Genomic DNA, 27,152 nt, shown 5'->3' on the forward strand with positions numbered 1-27,152 from the left:
TTCTGATCAACTTTGGCTCCTTTTTATTCAGGAAGCATACACTAATTCTTTTTATACATTTTTTTTTTTTACATTCCAGAAATAAGCGAAAATAGCAGTTTTAAATATGTTACAAAGTTGGCTTTTCAGGCTTAATAAGCTTTTTGAGAGAGGGACCAGCCAACTGACCTTTTCATCAAAGCACCAATGTATCTTCAGTCTTTTACCAAGCTCTACCACAGCTGTGGTTGCCTTGGATGTGCTGCACATCCAAACCGTGTGAAAGCTATAATGGAGAGTTGCTGTGAGTCTCTCTGCAAGGCACCAAGAACAAACAGTTCAAGCTTCCTTTCTTCAGATTGAACCAAAGTTTTTGAAACTTTCAACTGCTCTCTCAAGTAGTGCTCTCTCAGCGTGAAGACTAGAATTTGTTAAAACCCATATATCACAAGATACAGTAAATCACTTCCAATAGTCTGGAAATCACATGGTAGAAGTTATAAATAAATGAACACTAAAATTACTTTAAGAAAGTTTTACATCATTTAGTTGGTAAGGACATTTACGTGTACAGCACAATTTATTGTCAAACATTCTATAACTGGCTTCACACAAAGATGAAAATAGATTAATACAAAATGATCTGACATTTTCAGTAAATCTGGAATTAAGACTGGATTTTTATTGTAGTCAATATCAACTTTACATATTGTTGCAGATTGCTGTGCTATGCCCTTTAAAATGATAATTTCTCAGGGTAAAATTCCATTTGGATATGTGTTCTTGCTTGTCAAACTACTAAAATCTGAGGGACACAGCAATATCAAAGACACAAACAGTAACTGCACAATATCATCTGCTGGATTAAGCTAATACAAGTGGACAGAATTCTTTAGGTTCCAATATCTAATAAACCACTATGTGAAATGAACAAGGTGAGACATCTTATGAATATACTCTGCAACCGGAACATGTAGCATTTCTTTAATTCAAAAATCTGCCTCATTAGGCATTTACAAAATAAATTAGTAAGATCTCAATTTGCTTGAGGCATAACAAGCTCGTAATGGCCCACTTGGCCTTCCTGTTTGAGCTGATCTAGTAGGTCTTCCTTCCGTCTTTTTCTACCTACCACTAGGTACCTATCATGGCCCACCCCATGAGACTTACTCTTAAGACCATACTTCTGGGCAATCTGATGTATTTGCTTCCGTTCATCATTAGTCAGCTCTCTAGAGAAAGTCAAATCTGTGTGGCTCTCGGAGCGGGCGTAGTTTCTGATGATCTGTTCAATATCTCTCTTGGCAATTTTATTCACCCTCTCTACATCCAGACCAAGCCCTTCCCGCTTATGCTGCTCTTTCACTGAGATAGGCTCCCGTATGCCCTCACCAGATTTACCTAAACCACCACCAGTCCAACCCATCTTTCTCAGCAGCTGATTTCCAATATTATCTTCTTTGATTTGCTGTTTGTAAGCCTCCTCTGCTGAGCGGCCCTGAATTTCATTTCTTGAAATCACATCTTCAACAGCTCCTTTCTTCAAGTTGTTAATGACAGTTGGCTGGGTCTTTTTGAGGGTTTTCACAGCTTCCCCAGCAGCTTCATATTTGACAGTTTTCTTCACCCCAACTGCTTCTGCAATTACTTCACTCTCTAGAATCACTTTGCATTTCCAGCGGAGGCCTGTCATCCTTTCATAGACATACTCAACTGTCATTCGGTTAAACTGAGCTGTGTCGTTCAGCGTGCACACGGGATTTGAAGAATTCTCATAAACTACAAGATCCTTTATATCTTTCTTCTTTCCAGATCCTCTGGGTGAAGAGCCTGTATGGCATTGTGAACTTTTGACAGATGGATAAGTGGGCTGTGTTTTTTGAAGAATTTTCAAAGCCTCGTCGGCAGCTGCATGTTTACTTGTTTTCTTGGTTCCATAACCTTCAGCTAAGCAGTGATCTTGTAAAAACACTCGACAACGCCATGTGCGATTTGGCATCATCTCATATTTGTATTCAATTGACATCTTGTTGAATGAGGCAGAATTGTTAAGGATACCAATTGCATCATTTGCATTTTCTGTAATGACAAAATTGGTCCAGTGTTTGGCAGAAGCATTAAAAATTGGCTGCCCGGAAGCATCTTTACCCAGCACCACCAGGTCTTCTGGTGGCTTCAGAGCTGGAGGAAATTCATAGGAGGACATGCCAATCTGACACACCACGAGGTCCTCTCCAAATGTATGCTTGAATTTCCGCCGGACAACTCTAACTTCAATACGTTTCTGCAAGAGTTTTACAGCTAGCTCTGTAGCTCGATCCCTGGACCCATTCTTGCTGCCAGCATAACCTGTAGTTAAGTAGATATTTTGGCATCTAACTTCACAAGCATAGCCATCAGTTAGAAGTTTTTTATTTTTGGGGATGTCGGCAGGAGGAATTTCCTTTAAAGGAGCATATATATACTCAGGATTTGTCTTACACGCCTGAATACAACGAGTTAACATATATGTATAATTAATTTTATCAGATCCAGAAGTCATTTCTGGATTAGAAAGGTTCTTCCAGATTGTCGCCGTTAATTTTTCAATAAAATACTGCTTCTCGGCTACCACAGACTCGGGAAATGTCTGTGATGGTGAAGGCTCAGGAGTTGACTGAGAGTTTGCCTGCTGTGATGTGGTGCTTGGGGCAGGGTTCCCACTGTCAAAATACATGTTGGCTGTTACAGGCTGGTCTTTTGTGAGAATGAATCCTGATGAATCACAATACTGAGAATTCCCATCTTGTATACTGAAAGAGTCTTGAGTATAATCTTGGTAGATGTCTCTTGGCATGCTGGCAAAATGTGTTTGTTCATTTACCTCTTTTGTTTGAGGGCCATAAGGATCTTCCTGTCTTTCATCTTTTGAACTACTAGCTACAAAATGTACAGGCTCAAAACGAGGTCTCGCATGGAATTTGGAACCGGCTTGCTTTTTAGGAGGATTTTGACCTATAGAATGAGTGAAATTTACAATTCATTAAAATGGGAATATTTCAAAAGAACCAAGCAGGAAAATAGTACCAACCATATTATTTGCAAGCTGCATTGTTGGTACGAGATACTTCCATCACAAAAACTTCACGCCATTTGGGTGAAGAGACTCAATTATCAATGTAAGATTCCAGCATAAGGAGGGATGCTCCCTGTCTTTCCACATGTAAGGGAAGACCCTTGATAGAAAATATACCATTAAGTCAAGTATACAGGTCACCACCACACATGACTGGTAGCTGCTTTTGCATCAAATGAGCTAAAGCACAGGTGAAGTATACTCTTCACTTGTGCTGGAAGGTGAAGTGGACTGGAAGATTGTTCCAGTACAATCTCATACCACCCATGCTGAAAAGCTCACTTAAGGATTGAAAATGGAACAGATGGCTCTAATGCAAGACAGATAATGAGCAGAGGCAGTTACAAAGCCTTTCTCTTTTGTATCAGAGGTGAGTGACTCTGTGATGGTGCTTTACATAGTTGTGACTAAAAATCAAAGAAAAAGAATTATCAAAAGATTCAGAAAGTTTTCAACTTCAAAACCTCAGCTCTGACCCATTCATCACAAAAGGGTGTTTGCTCTATTTTCTTTCTAGAACAAACAACAGCTGGAAACTAATGATTTATGTGAGATGCCAAATTTAAAGCTATGGAAGAACTCTGATGAAGCTATACTAGACACTAGAGCTTCCTCCCTGTAACACTGCTCAGTAGAAAGCTCGTCCATCCTGGACCCATCCAAGAGGATTTAGTGACTTAGATGCTCAAGTGATCACAGTATAAGATTTTATTTAGAGGGCGGTTCCATGACATAAATTTCAAGGACTGCATAATAACATGATTTCAATATTCTTAGTTTTCAATTCTATTTAGCATCCTCAAAAAATTGTATATAATTAAAAGCTAAAACTCTTTTACCCGTAAGAACTAATGTTACCAATGTTATTTGAAATCTTATACCACACTCATATCATTTTTTTAAAGCCATGTTGTTTCTTCAAATCCCACCTTTCAGAAACAAGTATACTCACCATCACATGTTGAGAGGTGGCGTTTTTGACCTTTGGAAGGTTTGGACAGCACCAGATCATATGAAGGCATCTCCCCAATATCAATACCTTCAGCCATTTGGAGAATTTTTTCCATCAAGCGTGGGCTGTACCTATTTAAGTTAATATAATCTACAGTTAAAACAGGTAAGGATGTCTTTTTTAAAAAGCTTCAAAATAAGCCAGTCTTATAATTGCTCCCACAAGACTTTATCAACAGGGTATCTTGGCTATAAAACCAAAGAATCGGCCCTAAAATATTTACCCATCAAATGAATAATTATGTTACTAATTAGGAAACAAGATTTTTCAGCATAAGACATACAAATATAAACTCAAAAAAATTTAGCAAAAACCTCATCTTTAATTTGAATTGAAAATATCAGTATAAATTCATGACTTGTTTTGATTGTGGTCTCTATCATTTCTCATGAAATGGAATCAGGGTCCTTAGAGAAATGGCTGATTCTAAGTCTGTGGCAGGAAATGTCTAAGGTGAGCCTGAGAAATCATCTAGCACCTAAAACCAAGGAAACTGTCAAAGATCAAAGGTGTTGTGTCAAATGGACTCAGAAGCCAATTTGAATAGACTCTTACTGGCAAAGTGAGCCAACTCAAATATCGATAAGAACAATGATGGCAATGGATTGAAATATATCAAATATGTTGAAAATTCATTAGTTCATAATGATACTTACAAACTATTATTGGTCACCTTTGGAGGATGGAAGGAACCATGTCATTATTCTGCAAACAGGTAAATATGAAAGGAAGAAAGCAAACATTTATCCTGTATTCTCCTGTATAAATTGTACTTAGAGCAACCAAAGAGATGATGAGGAAAATGTCTTTTAGAGAAGCATTCCAGCTAATAAATGAAGGAATGGACTACTACCATTTTGTAACCTATAATAAAAAATGATCATCAGGCGGGCATGGTGGCTCACACCTGTAATCTCAGCACTTTGGAAGGCCTAAGCGGGTGGATCACTTGAGGTCAGGAGTTCGAGAACAGCCTGGCCAACATGGTGAAACTCCATCTCTACTAAAAATACAAAAATTACCCGGGCATGGTGGTGGACACCTGTAATACCAGCTACTCAGGAGGCGGAGGCAGGAAAACTGCTTGAACCTGGGAGGCAGAGGCTGCAGCGAGCCGAGATCACGCCACTGCACTCCAGCCTGGGCGACAGAGCTAGACTCCATCTCAAAAAAAAAAAAAAAAGAAAAAAGAAAAGAAATTATCAATGGCTGCTAAACCTATTAGGTGAAAAGCTAATGGGGGAAGAACTCACAGTCAGACCCAAGCAAATATTCTCAACTGATTATTGACAAAGGTGCCAAGGCAATTCAATGGAGGAAGGATAGCCTTCTCAACAAATGGCGCCGGAACTAGTAGGCATCCATAGGCAAAAACAAAAACAAAAACAAAAAAAAAACAACTCTACACCTAAACTTCACACCTTATACAAAACTAACTCAAAATACATCATAAACCTAAATGTAAAATTATGAAACTTTTACTGAAAAAAAAAACACAGGAGAAAATCTGTGGGATCTAGGGTTAGGCAAACAGTTCTTAGGCTTGATACCAAGCATGATCCATAAAGAAACTGGTGATAAAATGGACGTCATTGAAATTAAAAAGTTTTGGCTGGGTGTGGTGGCTCACTCCTGTAATCCCAGCACTTTGGGAAGCCGAGGTGGGCGGATCACTTGAGGTCAGGAATTCAAGACCAGTCTGGCCAACATGGCAAACCCCCATCTCTACAAAAATAGAAAAAAAAAAATTGCTGGACATGGTGGTACACACCTGTAGTCCAAGCTACTTGTAAGACTGAGGCAGGAGAATCACTCAAACCCGGGAGGTGGAGGTTGCAGTGAGCCGAGATTGTGCCACTACACTCCAGTCTAGGTCTGGGTGACAGAGCGAGACTCCGTCTCAAAAAAAAAAAAAGAGTAAAAAGTTTTGCTCTTGAAAGACTGTGAAGAGGATGAAAGGTCAAGCTGCAGACTGGGAGAAAATATCTGTAAACCACACGCTTGACAGAAGACTAGTAGTACCTAAAACTCAATAGAAAAAAAAATCAAATTAAAAAATGAACAAAAGACATAAACGAAATACTTCACCAAAGAGGATAGACAGATTGCAAATAAGCACATGAAAAGATGTTCATCACTAGCCACCAGGGAAATGCAATTTAAAATCACAATGAGGTATCACTATACACTTATTAGAATGGCCAAAATAAGTGACAATGGCTGGGCACAGTAGCTCACGCCTGTAATCCCCGCACTTTGGGAGGCCGAGGGGGGTAGATCACGAGGTCAGGAGTTCGAGATCAGCCTGACCAACATGGTGAAACCCTGTCTCTACTAAAAATACAAAGATTAGCCTGGCATGGTGGCATGCGCCTGTAATCCCAGCTTCTCAGGAGGCTGAGGCAGGAGAATCGCTTGAACCTGGGAGGCAGAGGTTGCAGTGAGCCGAGATTGTGCCACTGCACTTCAGCCTGAGTGACAGAGCAAGACTCCATCTCAAAAAAAAAAAAAAAAAAAAAAAAAAAAAAGTGACAATACCAAATGCTGGCAAAAATGAGGAGAAACTGGATCACTCAGACATTGCTGCTGGGAATGTAAAATGATACAGTCACTCTGGAAAACAGTTTGGTAGTTTCTTATAAAACCAAACATCAGGCCGGGTGCGGTGGCTCACGCTTGTAATACCAGCACTTTGGGAGGCCAAGGTGGGCGGATCACCTGAGGTCGGGAGTTCGAGACCAGCCTGACCAACATGGAGAAACCTCGTCTCTACTAAAAAGACAAAATTAGCCGGGCGTGGTGGTGCATGCCTGTAATCCCAGCTACTCTGGAGGCTGAGGCAGGAGAATCGCTTGAACCCAGGAGGTGGACGTTGCAGTGAGCCAAGATCGCACGATTGCACTCCAGCCTGGGCAACAAGAATGAAACACTGCCTCCAAAAAAAAAAAAAAAAAATCAGTTACCACTTGATCCAGCGATTGCAATTATACTCTTGGACATTTATTCCAGAGAAATGAGAACTTATGTTCACACAAAAACCTGTACACGAATGTTCATAGCAGCTTTATTTGTAACAGCCCAAAACTACAATCAGCCCAGATGTCCTTCAACAGGTGAATAGTTAGATTCTGGTACACACACACTATGGAACACTACTTGGGACAAAAAGGAACTTTTTTTTTTTTTTTAAACAGTCTCACTCTGTCACCCATGCTGGAATGCAATGGCGCGATCTCGGCTCACCGCAACCTCCGCCTCCTGGATTCAAGTGATTCTCCTGCCTCAGTCTCCCAAGTAGCTGGGACTATAAGCATGCACCACCATGCGGGGCTAATTTTTGTATTTTTAGTAAGACAAGGTCATCATGTTGACCAGGCTGGTGTCAAATTCCTGACCTCTCCGCAGGCCTCAGCCTTCCAAAGTGCTGGGATTACAGGCATGAGCCACCGCACCCGGCCATCTCTTTGTATTATTTCTTACAGTTGCATGTCAATCTATAATTATCTCAAGAAAAATTTCAGTTTAAAAAGCTGATCGGGGACTTTATCATCTTAATATCACTAAAAGTGGGACAACCGAACATGTACCCCACGATGTGATACAATAGGATATCACGGCACTATCTAGAAAGCGTTATGGCTCTCCAGAGAATTGAACCTGAAACTAATCAAGTTCCTGACTCCCAGAAACATGTGAAACACCACAAGAATGGAACTATCCAACTCCAGAATGAGGGAACAGTATGTGACAGCCCAGTTTCCTCATCAAATAAATACTGTAGAATGAAAATAAAAGGAAGAGGGAGTGGTTATAGGTTAAAGGAGATGGATCAATCAAATACATTGTATAGACTTTGTATCATGAATGAATCAAACGAGCTGTAAAAAGACATTTGAGACAAATGAAGAAAACTGAACATGCAATAGGCATTGGGTGATTTTTAAGAAATCACTGTAAATTTTGTTGAATATGAATAATGGTATGGTGACTATTTTTAAAAATTCTTATCTGATACAGATGTGTACTGAAGAATGTACAGGTGAAATGATGTCAGGATTTTATAAAATATACTCCAGACTATTGCCCACAAAAACCTAGGGCAGAATAGATGAAGAAGGGTAGCATGGCAGACTGCTGATGATTGCTGAGTGATGGGTACATGGGATTCATTAAACTCTTTTCTACTTTTGTGTGCTTGAAATTTTAAGGCAAAGCTTTAAAATATACAATTTAAAAAATGGCTCCTGGCTGAGCACAGTGGTTCATGCCTGTAATCCCAGCACATTGAGAGGTGGAGGTGGGCAGATCACTTGAAGCCAGGAATTCAAGACCAGCCTGGGCAACATGGCGAAACACCATCATTACAAAAAATAAAAATAACAAACAAACAGAAAACGTAGCCAGGCATGGTGACCCATGCCTGTAGTCCCAGCTACTTGGGAGGCTGAGGTGGGAGGATCACTTGAGCTGGGAAGGTCAAGGCTGCAGTGAGCTGTGATCACACCACTGCACTCCAGCCTGGGTGACAGAGTGAGACCCTGTCTCTTTTTTTTTTTTTTTTTTTTTTTTGAGAGGGAGTCTTGCTCTGTCTCCCAGGCTGGAGTGCAGTGGCACAATATCAGCTCACTGCAACCTCCACCTCCCGGGTTCAAGCACTTCTCCTGCCTCAGCCTCCCAAGTAGCTGGGATTACAGGCATGCGCCACCACGCCTGGCTAATTTTTGTATTTTTTAGTAGAGACAGGGTTTTGCCATGTTGGCCAGGCTGACCTTGAACTCCTGACCTCAGGTAATCCACCTGCCTCAGCCTCCCAAAGTGCTAGGATTACAGGTGTGAGCAACTGCACCCGGCTGAGACGGTCTCTTAAAAAAAAAAAAAAAAAAGGCTCCTTATGAAGATTGGCTGCTTGATAGAATAACATTTTACTACAGAGAAACAGAAACAGGAGCTCAAGTGAAGTGTTGGTTATGACGGTTACCTGCTCTCCCTTCCTACCTTCAGAGCCTTCCCCAGCCTAGGACCAAAAAAGAGATTCCTGGTAGCATTTGGGAAGAAGTTCTGAAAATGAGTAACTATCATACCTTTACATGAATCAGTTCTGAACCAGAAGGAGGGTAACATTTTCCATTTTCAGTAGAACAGGTTGCACACCCATCACGTATCATTCCACGCAAAGCAGAAGTCAAGGCACGGTGGCCTCCCCGACAGACTGCTGGAAGCTAGCTCTGTTGTAACCTGTACTTCCCACTGACAACTGTTGCTGCTAAAGCTAGCACGAGTATTTAAATACCAAGAGTAATTTTATTTTCATTGACTCTTATCTGAACATCAGAAAGCACAGTCTAAAACACAATATGGCTGGGCGGGGTGGCTCACACCTGTAATCCCAACATTTTGGGAGGCTGAGGTGGGCAGATCACCTGAGGTCAGGAGTTCAAGACCAGCTTACCCAACATGGTAAAACCCCGTCTCTACTAAAAATACAAAAATTAGCTGGGTGTGGTAGCAGGCGCCTGTAATCCCAGCTACTCAGGAGGCTGAGGCAGGAGAATTGCTTGAACCCGGGAGGCGGAGGTTGCAGTGAGCTGAGATTGCACCACTGCACTCCAGCCTGGACGACAAGAGCGAGACTCTGTCTCAAAAATAATAATAAAATAAAATAAAATAAACACAATACATTCTACATATCACTTCCATTCAAATTTGGGAGTACATATTTCCAAAGTATGAGATAAAAACAAAAGCCGGGCGCGTGTGGCTCACGCCTGTAATCCCAACACTTTGGGAGGCCAAGGCAGGCAGATCACCTGAGGTCGGGAATTCGAGACCAGCCTGACCAACATAGAGAAACCTGTCTCTACTAAAAATACAAAAATTAGCCGGGTGTGATGGCGCATGCCTGTAATCCCAGCTACTTGGGAGGCTGAGACAGGAGAATCGCTTGAACCTGGGAGGCAGAGGTTTTAGTGAGCCGAGATCGCACCATTGCCTTCCAGCCTGGGCAACAAGAGTGAAACTCCATCTCAAAAAAAAAAAAAAAAAAAAAAAAAGTCTATGAAAATGAGATGAGTCTATAAATCTTAAACTACTAATCCCACGCCTGTTACCAAAAGTGGCCCTACAACCAGGCAACTTACCTTGAATTCCAGTCAATATTCTCCAGACCTTCAGTTAGAGCCCGATTCCAAGTACAGTATACAACTGCAAATGGCATATATGTCTTACGGTGTGATGCACTTAGGGCTCACTCATTCATGCTCACTTTTCTCAGGTTTCTTCCAGCATTAGTAATTATTCTACCTACTTACTATACCCTATTCATTACATCTGCCACAAAATTCAACTTCACCCATAGGCCATAAAAATAAGTCTTTACATAGGTTGCTGATACAGTTCTCTGTCCTTTGCTATGAAGTCATAATACTGAAGAAGCCCAGCCAGTATGAACAATAATGAAAAAGACCGTATAGTACCTAACAAACACTTCACTATTCAAAGAACAATGTAAATACGAATCTAGAGTGTTTAGTAAGACCACGAGGCTTCTACAATCCAGAGTAGCTTTCCAAAGATAAAGAAGTGGTGCCACATATTTAAAGTAAGCCAAGGCAGTAAAGCTTTTATTATTCACTTTCTCCAGAGTCTATTTTTTAATAGTGTGTTTTAAAGTAACACCTTTAACACCAGGCATTTTAGAAAATCCACCAAGAAAAGCACCTACATTCCCAACCACTGGCCGGGAGCAGTGGCTCACACCTGTAATCCTAACACTCTGGGAGACCAAGGCAAGAGGATCACTTAAGCCCAGGAATTCAAGATCAGCCTGGGCAACATGGCAAGACCCTGTCTCTACAAAGAAAAAAAAAAAAAAAAAGCTGGGCATGGTGGCATACACCTGTAATCCCAGCTACTCAAATCACTTGAGCCTAGGAAGTTGAGGCTACAGTGAGCTGTGATCACACCACTGCACTCCAGCCTGGGTGACAGAGGAACCTGTCTCAAAAATAGTTATAATAACCCCAACCACTGATAACTTCATCAACATGTTGGGTTTTAATTAATTTTTTTTTTTGAGACTGAGTCTCACTCTATTGCCCAGGCTGGAGTGCAATGGCATGATCTCGGCTCACTGCAGCCTCTGCCTCCTCAGTTCAAGTGATTCTCCTGTCTCAGCCTCCCAAGTAGCTGGGATTACAGGAGTGCACCATCATGTCCGGCTAATTTTTGTATTTTTAGTAGAGACAGGGTTTCACCATGTTGGCCATGTTGGTCTTGAACTCCTGACCTCGTGATCTGCCTGCCTCAGCCCCCCAAAGTGCTGGAATTACAGGCGTGAGCCACCGTGTCTGGCCATGTAGGGGTTTATTTTTTAATGCTTTTTCTGTGTTTTCCATAACTCCCCATCACTATCAAGTCATCTATGTTGATTTCAAATCTGGTGGGGTTTTTTGTTTTTAATTTACTGTATCATAAGCCTTTTCTCCACATCATTACCACATGAGTTTTAATGGCTATACAGTATTTATATTATTGAATAAAATGTAAGATATCATTAAGGCAAGTCTAATATAGTAATTTTTTAAGATGCACGCATACTATATTTTTAAGTCTGCTAAGTTACCCTTTAGATTATAAATGCTTAAAAAAGAAAACCAGGCCAGGCGTGGTGGCTCATGCCTGTAATCCCAGCAATTGGGAGGCCGAGGCAGGCGGATCACTTGAGGCTAGGAGTTCAAGACCAGCCTGGACAACATGGTGAAACCCTGTCTCTATTAAAAATACAAAAATTAGCCAGTCATGGTGGCATGCACCTGTAGACCCAGCTACTCGGGAGACTGAGGCAGGAGAATCGCTTGAACCCGGGAGGCAGAGGTTGCAGTGAGCGGAGATCACAGGCTGCACTCCAGCCTTGGCGACAGAGCAAGACTGTCTCAAAAGAGAAAGAAAAAAAAAGAACCCCAAAATTCTGAGGTCTTATGGTTCTCAAAAGTAGCTGATATTATACCAAGCTTTTGGAAACCAGGATGTGACTCAACTATCCCACCATATCTAGCACATAAAAAGATGATTTCTAATGAACAAAAACATCTGTCTTCATAAGTTTTACATCTCTGGACACAAGACAGGTGCATATATATGCATACTTATGAATAACGTAAACCACTATAACATACAATGGCAGCTGAAATTTAATAAATATTCAGTAATAGATGCTTACAAAACTTTTTTTTTTTTTGAGATGGACTCTCACTCTGGCACCCAAGCTGAAGCGCAATGACGCGATCTCGGCTCACCGCAACCCCTGCTTCCCAGGTTCAAGCAATTCTCCCGCCTCAGCCTCCCGAGTAGCTGGGACTACAAGCACCCATCACCACGCCTGAGTTTTACCACGTTGGCCAGGCTGGTCTCAAACTCCTGACCTCACGTGATCTGCCCGCCTCGGGCTCCCAAAGTGCTGGGATTACAGGCATGGGCCACCGGCCACGGCCGTTTTACAAAACTTTAAAAAAGTATATTAAACTGTTCTACTAAGTTCAAATAAAAAAGCTGAGATTTGAAAATTAAGCAAAGATTAAGGTTTCCAAGTGTAAAATTGTTTATTCAAAACTATTCATAAGGAAAACTAATTAAAAAAAAAAAAAACTTTTCATAAGACGGGCCGGAGCCTGGCAAAATGGCTGATGCCTGTAATCCCAGCACTTCGGGAGGCCCAGGTGGACGGCTCACCTGAGGTCAGGACCAGCATGGCCAACGTGGTGAAACCCCGTCTCTACTGAAAATACAAACAAAATTAGCTGGGCGTGGTGGTGCACGCCTGTAATCCCAGCTACTCGGAAGGTGGAGGCAGGAGAATCACTTGCACTCAGGAGGTGGAGGCTGCACTGAGCTGAGATCGCACCATTGCACTTCAGCCTGGGTGACAGAGCAAGGTTCTCTCAAAAAAAAAAAAAAGAAGAAGAAGAAGAAGAAGAAAAAGCTGGGAGCAGTGGCTCATGCCTGTAATCTCAGCACTTTGGGAGGCCGAGGCGGGCGGATCATCTGAGGTCAGGAGTTCGAGACCAGCCTGACCAACATGGAGAAACCCTGCCTCCACTAAAAATACAAAATTAGTCGGGCATGGTGGTTGCACACCTGTAATCCCAGCTACTAGGGAGGTTGAGGCAGGAGAATCGCTTGAACCCGGGAGGCGGAGGTTGCGGTGAGCCAAGATCGCGCCATTGCACTCCAGCCTGGGAAACAAGAGCGAAACATTGTCACACAAAAAAAAAAAAAGAAAAAAGAAAAAGAAAAAAGGACTCGGGCCAGGCGCGGTGGCTCACCCTTGTAATCCCAGCACTTTGGGAGGCCAAGGCGAGTGGATCACTTGAGCTCAGGAGTTCAAGATCAGCCTGAGCCACAGAGGGAAACCCCATCTCTATTAAAACAACAACAACAACAATTGATAAGACTCCTGATATAAGTTAATAACATACACCCAGATTATTGATAATCTTTCAAAAGCTCTCACACCCATTTCATTAGCTAGTGATTTATGCACTCTCCCTACTATGTGCACAGTTTTGCAACATGAGCCCAGCCAACATCTATCTACCTTCCAAACACCAGTCTTGTATCAACCAGGAAAAGACAAATAAGGGAGCAAAGCTGGTTTCATTTTAAGGTATATTTTATCTATTAATTAATGTCTCATCAAAGGTAAATAGTAGGCCAGAATTCTCCTTCTAATCTTATTGATCAACAATGACTGGAAAACTAAATGCCCCAGTTAATCAAACTGCTTTATTAAATATAAAGACACTATCTACAATTTTAAGTAAAAATCACACAGTTCTCTAGGCATTCATATGTACAATTATTTAAGTGCTGTAGATGTAGTTGGTCAGAAAACTGAACTAATTTTTCACTAGCCACAAGACATATCTCAGAAATTGCCTGCAGAAAAAAATTCTTGGTTAAGTTGTTTACTTGGACGAAACAGACAAATGAAAAAATGAAGTGAAACAATTTTAGCCATTTGAGCTTTCTGGTTGCCTGGACAATTAGGGAGAAAATGATTAAAAAACAGAATAGAAACATTTTTATTTTATCCTACAAAGCAGTGGTTCTGAGAGTGCTGATCTCTGGATCAGCAACATCAGCATCACCTGGGAACTTATCAAAAATACAAAATCTGAGGCCCCACCTCAGACCTACCGAGTCAGACACCCTGGGGCTGGGACCCAGCAATCTGTTTTAACAAGCCTAACAGGTGATTTTGACGTGTACTTAAGTTTGAACTCCCCAGTTACAGAGTCAAGAAGATATTCAAATTTGTTCTGTGGAAATTGCCACCATCACCAAAAGGAATGAAATAAGGTCTGTTTCCCTGCACATTTGAGTTCCTCCTGGCTTGGTCTTATGATGAAGGAATTTTCAAAGATTTCTTTGACCTAGAAGTTTATTTCAGCTCCAAGTAAAATGGAATACAAAACATTTTGCCAGAGGGAAAAAAGAGCAAGGAAATTCCTTTGTGCTATTCTTCACAGCCTGTTCCAAAAGTCAAGTGATAAACCTCGAGCAACAAATCAACAATTTAAGGCCAGGTGCAGTGACTCACTCCTGTAATCCTAGCACTTTGGGAAGCTGAGGCTGGCGGATCACTTGAGCCCCGGGGTACGAGACCAGCCTGGCCAAAATGGCGAAACCCCGTCTCTACCAAAAATACAAAAATGAGCCGGGTGTGGTGGTGCATGCCTGCAATCCCAGCTACTCGGGAGGCTGAGACATGAGAATTGCTTGAACCCAGGAGGTGGAGGTTGCAGTGAGCCAAAATCGTGCCACCGCACTCCTGCCTGGGTGACAGAGCAGACTCTGTCTCAAAAAAAAAAAAAAAAAAATTAACAATTTAAGTTTAGAAAGAGCTATTTCACCATGTATTCTACAATTCACTTGAGAGAAGAGTATTCTGCCACAGAAAACAAGAACTCTGCCAAAATCTACATTAACATCAACAAGTATTGGAACACAAGTTTTACCCACCTGAAGATGAGAGGTAACATAAAGCCCATCTAAAGACTGCACTTGGTCCCTAGCTTCCAAGAGTCTTCATTGGCCCTTCCCTTTCTTCTATATGGAAGCTATCAGATATAATGCAAACATTACTTTTCAGTTAAGCTATTTGATAATGTAATGGCAATTCTTGTATTAACTAAACTGACTTAGCTACAATGTAACATGGTGTACATACATAGTATGTACAATGTAGCATACATAGTATCCACAGATGCACCTGTGTGCACACACAACAGCCTGCAATTCTTGAGCCTTTAACACCAACTACCATTGGCCTACTTTGTGTTTTTAATGCCCTGGTTATGTACAAGGGTGTTGTTCTTGGAATTAAATCCTGAGATATAATGATGTGGCTTATGTTCAGTTACTTGCTTTCACTCATGATCCATCCTTCCCAAATATGGCAGCTGTGGCTCAGTGGAAAGAGCATCAGTCTGGGTATCAGAAGACCTAGGTCCTAGCCCCAGCTGTAAGACCTTGGAAACGTCACTTAACTTCTTGGCCTCCACTGATTTAGCAGTAAAAATGAGATGCCACCTAATCCCCAAAGTTGTTGTAGGAAATGAAATAATAAATATTTAAAATGTGTTGTACATCATAAAGCTGTATACATCCACTCACTCCACACACATTTATTGAGCAGCTATTATTTAGCAGGCAATCTTCTAGGCACTGAGGATAAAGGTGTAAACAAGAAAGCAAAATCCCTATCCTTAAGGGAGCTTCCATTCTAGTGGGAAGGTAAGATTTATTATTAACACAAAGGATAGTTATCCTCATTTAAGTTTTTGTTTTTATTTTAAGGATTCAGATTTCCGACAGCCTTCTGTGATATTATGGAGACTTACGATTATAGGATAAAGGTAACTTTTGAACTCAAGAACAACACTGTTAGGCAAAGGTCAAGTAGATTTATCTGACTTGTTCAATAACTAAGGCTTCTTCAGTTGTAACCAGTTCCTCCTAATCATTATCTCTGGAGGTAGAAATTATGCTAACCTTGAGAAGACAGAAAAGTAATGTCTGTGATGAGAGCAAAGTATATCACACTGAATGCCATGTTCAATAATTAAGGGCAGGAGGAGACAATCCTATTTTTCTGCATCTGTTACAGTCACTCCTGGAACTGAACTGGCCAAAATTGACATGATCATATTCCAGAATCTCTCACCCTTCCTGATTTAAAAAAAAACAAAAACAAAAACAAAAACAAAAAACTATGATTGCAGGAATGTCAAAAGAAGTCGTCTCCCAATCTATCAAAGAATGAATAGTCTAGTATAGGGCCGATTTAGGGGTTCTGAAGGACAGAGGTCCAAGTAGCCTCTTCAAAAAAAAAAAACAAACAAAACACGCTGCGTTGGAACCATACTGCAGTCTCCATTGAATGCAAAGAGCTTTCAAAGAGGCCTGTTCAAAACGTCACCAGGTTCTAGGAAAGGGGGGAAAAACAAACACACACACACCCCCACCCCCACCACAGACACACACACCTAAAACCTCACTCAGAGCCAAATGTTAATCCTTCTGATCCCATTTAGGGTAAAAAGAGGGCAATCCATTTTTACAGTAGATATATCCATTTCTTTGTTTGAGTCCAGACACATTATGCGCAAATCTACAAGCAAGGCTGACGCTGCTGCGGCTCAGAGAGCTGATACGTACCGCCTCCCCAGGAGAAGACAGTAAGACCCTGCTAGGGGGCTGCAAGTAGAGGGGGGTATTTAAGAGGAATGGAAAAAGAGAGTGGTCAGGAGGAGACTAGAACAGTGGGGTCCCCTCGCCCTTCCCCCACAACTCCAACTGTCGAATATATTCTCTGCGGATACTGCATCCTTGGAAGGCCCTACGCAGGTCCGAGATGCTGCTATTCATCATTCCCCACGTCCTCTAATACCGCCACCAACTACAATGACCACCTCTCAATAATCCTCTTCTAGGCGCTGCTTCATCTCCATCCCTGGTCCTGGAGAGGCCGCTTCCGCGATCTCTGCACCCTCCTAGCTGTTATGTCATGCCCAGCCACCACAGTCGGCCACCCCACCCCCAGGCCAATAGTGATCCCTCTAGTGCCCTCCAGCACCTCCAAATCTCCAGCCTCCAACCTATCCTCCGCATCCCGCCCCCGTCCCTATCCCAACCACCATCATCGATCCCTCCAGCGCCGTCCCTAACCCGATCCCCCATCACCGATCTCTCACCCCCGTCCCTAACCCGACACCCACACCTTCCTCACCTGCAGCCCAGGAAGACGTGGTTGGTCCAGGCGGCGGAGAGCGCGAGGAGCTGGTCGAGGGCAGCCCCGGGATAGCTGTGCAGGTGCCGACAGATGAAGCTGCGCCGCAGAGCCCACTGCCAGTCACTTTCGTGGCTATAGCGCCACTGCTCCAGCACTGGCTCGGGCGGGGGCGGCGGGAGGGGCGGCAGCGGCGGCGGCGGGAGGGGGGGCAGCGGCGGCGCGACAGGAAGTCGCCCCCCAACAGCAGACGTCCTCCAGCCATCTTCTCCGCCCCCAAGCAGGGACCCCAGGGACGAAGCCGACTACGGACCGCGAGCTAGGCAGCTAGCAAGCGGGCGGAAACGGGGGGCCGGTGGGAGGGGCCGGGTAAGGAGGGGCGCGCTGAGGGGAGAAGATCAACTCTCGGGGGGACTGGAGTGTGTGCGTGGGGGCCACCGTTAGGAGGAAAAGAGGAGCACGAGCTCGCGTCCCGACACTGGGATGCACGTCCCCTACACTCCTCTAACTCGTGGAGGAGCAGAAGGGCTTCCGCCGCACTCACGCGCGAGCCGGGGAGGCCGAGTCAGGCTCCGCACCTCCACGGATCCGCAGACCCACGCACTGCGCGGAGAGCGATAAAAGACCCCAGCACGCTCTGCTCCCCTCCTCTAGGTTCTAGCCTACCTACCCGCGTGCCGTCCGGGGTTGTGAGGCCAGTGCGCTTGCGCCGCGGCTGTTCCCTAACTTCCAAATCCCGTCGCAGAATCTCGCGCGACGTACTTTTTTCCCTCCAGTGACGACTACGGGCCTTTGACGCACTACGGTGACAAGCGGAGGGCGGGGACTCCAGAAAGGGAATTTAGGAAGGTTCTCTGAGGTTCGAGAATATGGTTAGAAGGTGCCCTCAGATGAATGTTGGTAGCCCACGGCTCGTCTGACGCTTTTCCCTGGATTTTTAAGCGGCGCGACAGTGAGACCATGTTCCTTGTAAGGGATTTAGGTCTGCACTGGACTTTACATTAAAACAAAACAAAACAGTCAGCTCCCCGAGGTGCCTTTTCTTCAGAGAGTAGCTTGAAATGCTCTGTGCATCGTGCATCATTAGCTTTGTGTAATAGCTTACTGCGGAAACGTAGTAAAAATGAAACACTTGCCAAGAAAATCATCCACAGCGCCGCTTCTCAAGTTAGCCAGTTTCAAGTCCATACTGTATCCCAATTACGAACACAGATACTGTTTACACAGTTCTGATCACGATTGCAAGTCTGTATTTCACGTATCAACTTAAGTGCAAAAGATTACAAGATACAAAAGGGGCCCACAGAAGAGGGTACTGCAAGGTAGAGCCGCTCAATCACTGTAGCCAAATGTATCACTCCACCCGGAGTCAGCTTCACTCAATAACTTCAGTCCCTATCTGCCAACCTGTGTCACGAAAGCAGTTAATCAATGAGTGTCTGTCGGCGGGAATTTACACAGCACCTACTGTGTGCTCAATACAGCAAGAGTACAAAAAAGAAGGAAAGAAAGTGGGTTTTCTCTGTTGTCCTGGAATTGACTACAATCTTGGTGGGGAGAAATAGCCCTGCATAAAACTAAATGTTCCACCAGGAGCCGGACCATTGGATGAGGTGGCTTTAACACACTACCATCTTTAACTCTTTAATGACGTATTTCTAATTATATGACACTTTATGTTAGGGGTGTATTAGACTGAGAGGAGCAGAAGATAACAGCACTTTACACACTTTCATAATTTATTTCCACGTCTGTCTTTCTCCGTGGTGGGCATTCATGTTTATTGGGGTAACAATCGAAATGTTTTTAAAAAGTTCACAAGGTGATACATGCTGTGAAGAAAATAAAACAGGCTGGGTGCGGTGGCTCACGCCTGTAATCCCAGCACTTTGGGAGGCCGAGGCAGGAGGATTACTTGAGGTCAGGAGTTCGAGACCAGCCTGGCCAACATGGTGAAACCCCTGTCTCCACTAAAAATACAAAAATTAGCCGGGCGTGGTGGCAGGCGCCTGTAATCCCAGCTACTCCGGAGGCTGAGGCAGGAGAATCGCTTGAACCCGGGAGGCAGAGGTTGCAGTGAGCCAATATCGCGCCACTACACTCCAGCCTGGGCAACAGAGTGAGACTCTGTTTCAAAAAAAAAAGAAAGAAAGAAAACAGAGCAGTGCAAAGGCAAATGACTGGGGGAACACTAGATGAGGAGTCAGGTGACCTAAATTCTCATCTCATCATTGCCAACAACTATCTCTACAGCCTTCGGCAAGACACTTCACCTCTGTGGCCTTATTTTTCTCACTCGTACAATCATTACTTGAATTTATTATCTCTAACCTTCCTTCGTAGTACTATATTCTTTGATTTGATGGTTTAGAGACTAACATTACCTCAATAAACATGAATGCCCACCATAGAGAAAGACAGACATGGAAATACAGAATTCTGAAACTGAAAAGTGCTGTTATCTTCTGCTCTTCTCAGTCCAATACACCCCTACGCATAAGGTGTCATATAGTTAGAAATATGTCATTAGAGAGTTAAAGAGGGCACTGAGTCAAAGCCACCTCATCCAGTGGTCCTACTGCTGGTGGCACATTTAGTTTTACATAGGGCTATTTCTCCCTACCCAGCTTGTAATCAATTTCAGGACAACAGAGAAAAACCACTTTCTTTCCTTTTTGTATTCTTGCTGTATTCCACTGGAATGTCAGTTACATGAAAGCATGGAACTCATCTGTTTTGGTCTTAGCACCTATACCTTGATCCTGCAGGCACTCCAGAGATATTTGTTGAATTAAATGCATAAATGAATGAAGCTCTTCCTTTTGTCTCAACCCAGTGAAAATCATTTCCTTGGAGCCTACATTTTAAGCTGATTTGTTATTTTATAATTAGATTAATTTCAGCCTGCTATTGTTTGAGTGTGTCCCCTTCAAAATTTAAGTGTTGAAACTTAATGGCTGATGTGATGGTATTAAAAGGTGGGACCTTTAAGAGGTCATTAAGCCATGAGAGCTCCTCCCTCAGGAATGGGATTAAGGACCTAATGAAAGAGGCTTTAATCGGTGTTTGGTCACTTGCCCTTTGCCTTCTGCCATGTGCGGATATAACACTCCTCTCCCCTTGTTGCTGGAGGATGCAGCAACAAGGCACCATCTTGGAAGCAGAGAGCAGAGAGCTGCCCCAACCAGACAACTGAACCTTCTGGTGCCTTAATCTTGGATTTCCCAGGCTCTGGAACTCTGAGAAATAAATATATATTCTTTATAAGTCTCAGGTCTCAGTATCTTGTTATAGCAGCATAAATGGACTAAGACATAGCCTAAGTTGCCAACTTTCACCAAAATCCGCATTGTAATAAATATACATCTTTCCTAGAAAACAATCTGTGAAAAGATAAACTACTTCCTCTCAGCCTGGATTAAAACTTTTCCGTTGTATAGAAACAAATAATTGTAATCTGACTTTTGAAATTGGATTACAAAATAAAAGGTGTTGGAACTGATGTAAGAGGCCATCTGCTCTGGAACAACCATAACAGGATTCCATTTGTAAATCCCACTAAGGAATAAGCAGTTTCATCCATAGAACACAAATTTCCAGGATTCTCCATGTCCTTCTCTCCCTGGTATCCTTCTGATTACAAAAAAATCCATCAGCCAATCTATTTTAGCCCATTCCTTTCTCACAGCCACAGAGGGTTTCTCAGTGAGCAGGAGTTAAAACCCCTGAGAAGAAATACATTAGTTGAAGAGAGGTGTAGGCATAGATAATAAAGGTTGCCATTACAATCCTAAACAATCCAGAAGGCTGGGCGCGGTGGCTCATGCCTGTAATCCCAGCACTTTGGGAGGCCGAGGCGGGCGGGTCACCTGAGGTCAGGAGTTTTAGACCAGCCTGGCCAACATGGTGAAACCCCATCTCTACTAAAAATACAAAAATCAGCCGTGCATGGTGGCATACGCCTGTAGTCTCAGCTACTCAGGAGGCTGAGGCAGGAGAATTGCTTGAACCTGGGAGGTGGAGGTTGCAGTGAGCTGAGATCACGCCACTGCACTCCAGCCTGGGCAACAGAGCAAGACTCCGTCTCAAAAAAGAAAAAAAAAACAAAAATAAAAACAATCCGGACACCACCTGTAATCATCCATCCTCCTCCTCTCTATTGCAGGGGTCTGTCACTGTCTTTTTTTTTTTTTTTTGAGACGGAGTCTCGCTCTAATCCACTGTTGCCCAGGCTGGAGTGCAGTGGCACGATCTCAGCTCACTGCAACCTCCGCCTCCCTGGTTCAACCAATTCTCTGCCTCAGCCTCCTAAGTAGCTGGGATTACAGGTGCCGGTCACCACGCCCTGCTAATTTTTGTATTTTTAGTAGAGACGGGGTTTCACCATCTTGGCCAGGTTGGTCTTGAACTCCTGACCTCGTGATCCACTCACCTCAGCCTCCCAAAGTACTGGGATTACAGGCGTGAACCACCGTGCCCGGCCGTGTCACTGTCTTAAGACACATAAACCCCCGTTTTGACTGCTTTGAGCTTCCTTTCCTGCTTTTGCCTATAGGGGGAGTCAGTACGTAATGAAAAGACAGAAACTTGGAACCTGTCTTTTAACTATCCCATAAACTATCCCAAAAATCAGATCACTAAAAGTTCTTGACCCGAAAATTCTGCACCACCATGTGCTCTTGAGGAATGTTTAGTAACGGATTGAAAGCATAACTAGGAGTTCTCACTGGCCAATTCTGAGTAATGTGAGCACCAATATTATTAAAGACAGTAATGAATTATAAACCACTGAAAACTTGGGAGCCATAAGTCCACAGTGATACCAAATAGATAAATAAATGAGAGAGAAGGGAGGGCCTTTGCAGGGAGGGGCTTTGCTTTCAGTCGAATACCATGTGCTGACTGGTAAATATGGAGGGAGTGCTGGAGTTGGAAAATCATCATTTTATATAGATCGGTCCAGGCAAACATTATCAACAGATGCTCAATCCAAGGAGAAATTTTTGATGAGTAAGATATTTCCAGGAACTTAACAGTTTCTCTCCACAGATTGTTTATTAGTAGCAATAAAAAAAAAACAGTAATTATATCCTGGAGAAATTGGGCAACACCTTGACCCAAAATGAGAACATCCTATTTTTAAAATAGGACTTCAAAAATATCAATGTCATGAAAGACAAAGAAGGGCTATTCCAAACGAAAGGAGAGTAAAAAGACAGGGCACAATGCATAAACGTAGACTAGATCCTGTACTGCGAGAAAAAAAATGCTATAAAGGATATTATTTGATAGATTAGTGTTAGAATGTGAAATTTACCCAAGTTGATAACTGTCTGCAGTTATGTAAGAAAATATTATCTGTATATATGGGGCACATACATATATATGGGGCACAAAAATGATAAAGCAATAGGGCAAAATGTTATCAACTGGTGAATTTGGGTCAAGAGTATGTGAGTATACGTTGTACTATTCTTTTTTTTTTTTTTTTTGAGACGGAGTTTCACTCTTGGTGTCCAGGCTAGAGTGCAATGGCGTGATCTCAGCTCACTGCAACCTCTGCCTCCTGGGTTCAAGCGATTCTTCTGCCTCAGCCTCCTGAGTAGCTGAGATTATAGGCATGTGCCTGGCTAATTTTGTATTTTCAGTAGAGACAGGGTTTCTCCATGTTGGTCAGGCTGATCTCGAACTCCTGACCTCAGGTGATCTGCCTGCCTCAGCCTCCCAAAGTGCTGGGATTACAGGCATGAGCCACCGCGCCCAGCCGCATTATACTATTCTTGTAACTTAATTTCAAAATGTAGTTTGAAAAGTGCAATAGTGGGCCAGGCGCAGTGGTTCACGCTTGTAATCCCAGCATTTTGAGAGGCCAAGGTGGGCAGATCACGAGGTCAAGAGACCAAGACCATCCTGGCCAACAAGGTGAAACCCGTCTCTACTAAAAATACAAAAATTAGCCGGGCGTGTTGGCGCTTGCCTGTAGTCCCGGCTACTTGGGAGGCTGAGACAGAAGAATCACTTGAACCTGAGAGGCGGAGGCTGCAGTGAGAGATCGTGCCACTGCACTCCATCCTGGGCGACACACCGTGACTCCATCTCAAAAAAAAAAAAAGTGCAATAGCTCCTGACATTGGTGAAGAATATAAATCTAGTGCAGTGGCACAATCTCTACTCACTTGCAGCCTCCGCCTCCCGGGTTCAAGCAATTCTCCTACCTCAGCCTCCCAAGTAGCCAGGACTACAGGCATATGCCACCACACCTGGCTGATTTTTTGTGTTTTTAGTAGAGACAGGTTTTCACCGTGTTGGCCAGGCTGGTCTTGAACTTGTGACCTCAAGTGATCCGCCCGCCTCAGCCTCCCAAAGTGCTGGGATTACAGGTGTGAGCCACCACGCCCAGCCTCTAGCTACCTCTTAATCACTTATCTTGAGGTTGCACTTTACTGGGACCTCTGGAGAGCTTATAAATGATGCCCCTACTCTTATGAAGCTTAACATCTCTTGAGGAGGGAAGTCCCCCAAATAAGAAGCAGAGAAGATTATATAAGTTCAAGTAGGGGCCGGACTCAGTGGCTCACACCTATAATCTCAGCACTTTGGGAGGCCGAGGTGGGCGGATCTCTTGAGCTCAGGAGTTGGAGACCAGCCTGGCAATATGGTGAAGTCTCGTCTCTACAAAAAAATACAAAATGTAGCTGAGTGTGGTGGTGCGTGCCTGTAGTCTCAGCTACTCGGGAGGCTGAGGTGGGAGGATCGCTTGAGCCCAGGAGGTAGCAGTTGCAGTGAGCCGTGATCATGCCACTGCATTCCAGCCTGGGCGATGGAGTCAGACAGTGTTAAAAAAAAAAAAAAGTTCAACTAGGGAGTTTGAAAATGGAGAAGAGATCAGGAATCAGGATAGGTGGATGAGATCAAGAAAGTCTTTAAAGTAGGACCTGAGCCTTGAAGGTAGGATTTAAATCAGTAGATGATATTTCAGACAGAGTCAACGAACAGTTTGTGTAACTCAGGGAGAGGTTTGTGCAGAGACAGAATAGACTGGACAGAGAACAAATATTGGGAAGTGTTGAAAAACGTGGTTGAGTAGATACAAGGGGCCAGTCTGCAAGTTCCCCAAGGGCAGCATCTAACTAGATCTCATGCAAAGGATTTAATTAAGCCCGGGAGCAGTGGCTCACCCCTGTAATCCCAGCACTTTGGGAGGCCGAGGCGGGAGGATCACTTGAGGTCAGGGGTTAGAGACTAGCCTGGCCAAGATGGCAAAATCCGTCTCTACTAATAATACAAAAATTAGCCAGGCGTGGTGGCGGGCCAGGGACTACAGGCCCACGACACCAGGCTAGTTTTGGTTACGTTTCTTAATGGCTGGGAAAAAATTGCTGGGCACAGTGGCTCACGACTGTAATCCCAGCACTTTGGGAGGCCAAGGTGGGTGGATCGCTCGAGCTCAAAAGTTCAAGACCAGCCTGGGCAACATGAGGAAACCTGTGTCTACAAAAGATACAAGAATTAGCGGGGCGTCGGGGCGCTCTCCTGTAGTCCCAGCTACTTGGGAGGCTGAGGCAAGAGAATTGCTTGGGCCCAGGAGCTCGAGGCTGCAGTGAGCTATGACTATGCCACTGCACTCCAGCCTGGACGAAGAGTGAGACCCTGTCTCAAAAAAAAAAAAAAAATCAAAAGAATAATTCAGGATATGTGAAATTCAAATCATATGTCCATAAGTGAAGTTTTATTGAGCACAGCCATGCTCAACCTCTTACATATTATCTACGGCTGCTTTTGTGCTGTAGTAACAGTTGAATAGTTGCAGAGATCACATGGCCTGCAAAGCCTAAAATATTTATCAGCTGGCGCTTTACAGAAAAAGTTTGCAGCTGGGTGCGGTGGCTCACGCCTATAATCCCAGCTCTTTGGGAGGCCGAAGTGGAAGGATCGCTTGAGCCCAGGAGTTTAAGACCACACTGAGCAACAGCCAGACCCCAGTCTCTACCCTCCTCCAAAAAAAATTAAAAACAATCTGGGCATGGTGGCACGAGCCTATAGTCCCAGATACTCAGGAGGCTGAGGTGGGAGGATCACCTGAGCCCAGGATTTTGAGGCTGCAGTGAGCTGTGATCGCACCACTGCACTCCAGCCTGAGCAACACAGTGAGATCCAGTCTCAAGAAAAAAAAAAAAAAGTTTGCTCACTCCTGACCTAAAGCAATGGTTGTCCACATGGGGCGATTGTGCACAGGGAACATTTTGGCAATGCCTGGAAACATTTCTGGTGGTCACAACTGTGGAGGGTAGGGAGGGCATCCTACTGATATCTAGTTAGTAGAGGCCAGGGATAGTGCTAAATATTCTTTAACGCACATGACAGCCCTCCAGATGTCTGGTCCCAAATGTCCATAGTACTGTGGTTGAGAAACTCTGGATTATAGGACTCTAAGGTGAGTACTTTCTTTTTTTTTCTTTCTGAGACAGAGTTTTGCTCTGTCGCCCAGGTTGGAGTGCAATGGCGCGATCTCGGCTCACCGCAAGCTCTGCCTTCCAGGTTCAAGCAATTCTCCTGCCTCAGCTTCCCCAGTAGCTGGGATTACAGGTACGTGCCACCATGCCTGGCTAATTTTTGTATTTTTAGTAGAGACGGGGTTCCACCATGTTGGCCAGGCTGGTCTTGAACTCCTGGCCTCAAGTGATCCATCCACCTCGGCCTTCCAAAGTGCTGGGATTACAGGCGTGAGCCATTGCACCTGGCCAGGTGAGTACTTTCTAGTACAGGGAAAACTCAGTCCTTAACAAGGGAGCCCACTGACTGAACGCCCAGGTCTTTAACTTTTAGCTCAGGTAGCCTTCACAATGACCATGGCAAGGCAATCACTGATGTCCTCCTTTTCTGGAGACGTTTTATTAAATTTTTATTTTACTTATTTATTTTTGAGATGGAGTCTCACTCTGTCGCCCAGGCTGGAGTGCGATGGCGCGATCTCGGCTCATGGCAACCTCCGCCTCCCAGGTTCAAGCGATTGTCCTGCCTCAGCCTCCCAAGTAGCTGAGATTACAAGCGCGTGCCACCACGCCCGGCTAATTTTGTATTTTTAGTGGAGACGGGGTTTCTCCATGTTGGTCAGGCTGGTCTCAAACTCCCGACCCCAGGTGATCTGCCCACCTTGCTTACAGCTCACAAGTCTGTAGGGCTCCAGGGCTTGTAATTTTCCATAACACCTCAGTGCCTGCCTCTGCTCGGTGACGTCACAAACGTCACAGACGTATTGTCTCACTCGGCTGTCTCCTAGTGTGTGAGCTGCGCAGAGCCAGGCCTATATACATGGATATTTTCTGAAGCCTCCAGGCCTCTGTAAGGAAAGGATGCATGCCCTGATGTCTGCACCCTGGCCCTTAGGAAAACAAAGTTGAAGAAAATTCGTTTTCCTAAGGGCCACCAGAGTTCTTTAAAGTGATGACTCTCTCTCTTGCCTACTTTAATGCTTAGGAGGATGGGAGGCTCCGCTCTCTAGTAGACCCAGGACACAAAATACTCCTTAGTATCTATAGAATGCTTTTTGAGTCATAAAGAATAGTCATATCCATGAATTTTGGGGGATGCTCACATCACAGGATTAAATGAGAGAAGACACGTGGCATAGAGTTCTTTTCCTGCCAGAATTAAAACTCACCTGAATCTTGTTCCGTAGGCTCTGGCGCTCCACATTCTCCATCTAATATACTAAATGATAATCAGCTCAACTTAGTTGAATCCATGCTAATAAAGAA

At 43.8% G+C, this 27,152-nt stretch overlaps 1 protein-coding gene across 2 annotated transcripts, besides 2 other annotated features; it reads right to left on the reverse strand.

Annotated features, from left to right (window-relative positions):
• Positions 1–18,088, reverse strand: NKRF (NFKB repressing factor). Of its 2 annotated transcripts, none has more exon segments than NR_163972.1 (4): positions 1–2,973; positions 4,047–4,177; positions 15,126–15,223; positions 17,395–18,088. NR_163972.1 is itself a non-coding variant. In NM_001417890.1 (4 exon segments), coding segments are annotated over 4 exon segments (2,352 nt in total). In that variant the 5' UTR covers positions 17,660–18,088; the 3' UTR covers positions 1–1,015.
• Positions 17,622–17,671: a silencer, noted in NCBI's record as "silent region_20961". NCBI's record gives its function as "represses an Ori minimal core promoter by ATAC-STARR-seq in GM12878 lymphoblastoid cells {active_cell/tissue: GM12878}" and the evidence as "EXISTENCE:reporter gene assay evidence [ECO:0000049][PMID:35858748]".
• Positions 18,212–18,321: an enhancer, noted in NCBI's record as "active region_29882". NCBI's record gives its function as "activates an Ori minimal core promoter by ATAC-STARR-seq in GM12878 lymphoblastoid cells {active_cell/tissue: GM12878}" and the evidence as "EXISTENCE:reporter gene assay evidence [ECO:0000049][PMID:35858748]".

This window comes from Homo sapiens, chromosome X (genome assembly GCF_000001405.40).
Source record: "Homo sapiens chromosome X, GRCh38.p14 Primary Assembly".
NCBI lineage: Eukaryota > Metazoa > Chordata > Mammalia > Primates > Hominidae > Homo > Homo sapiens.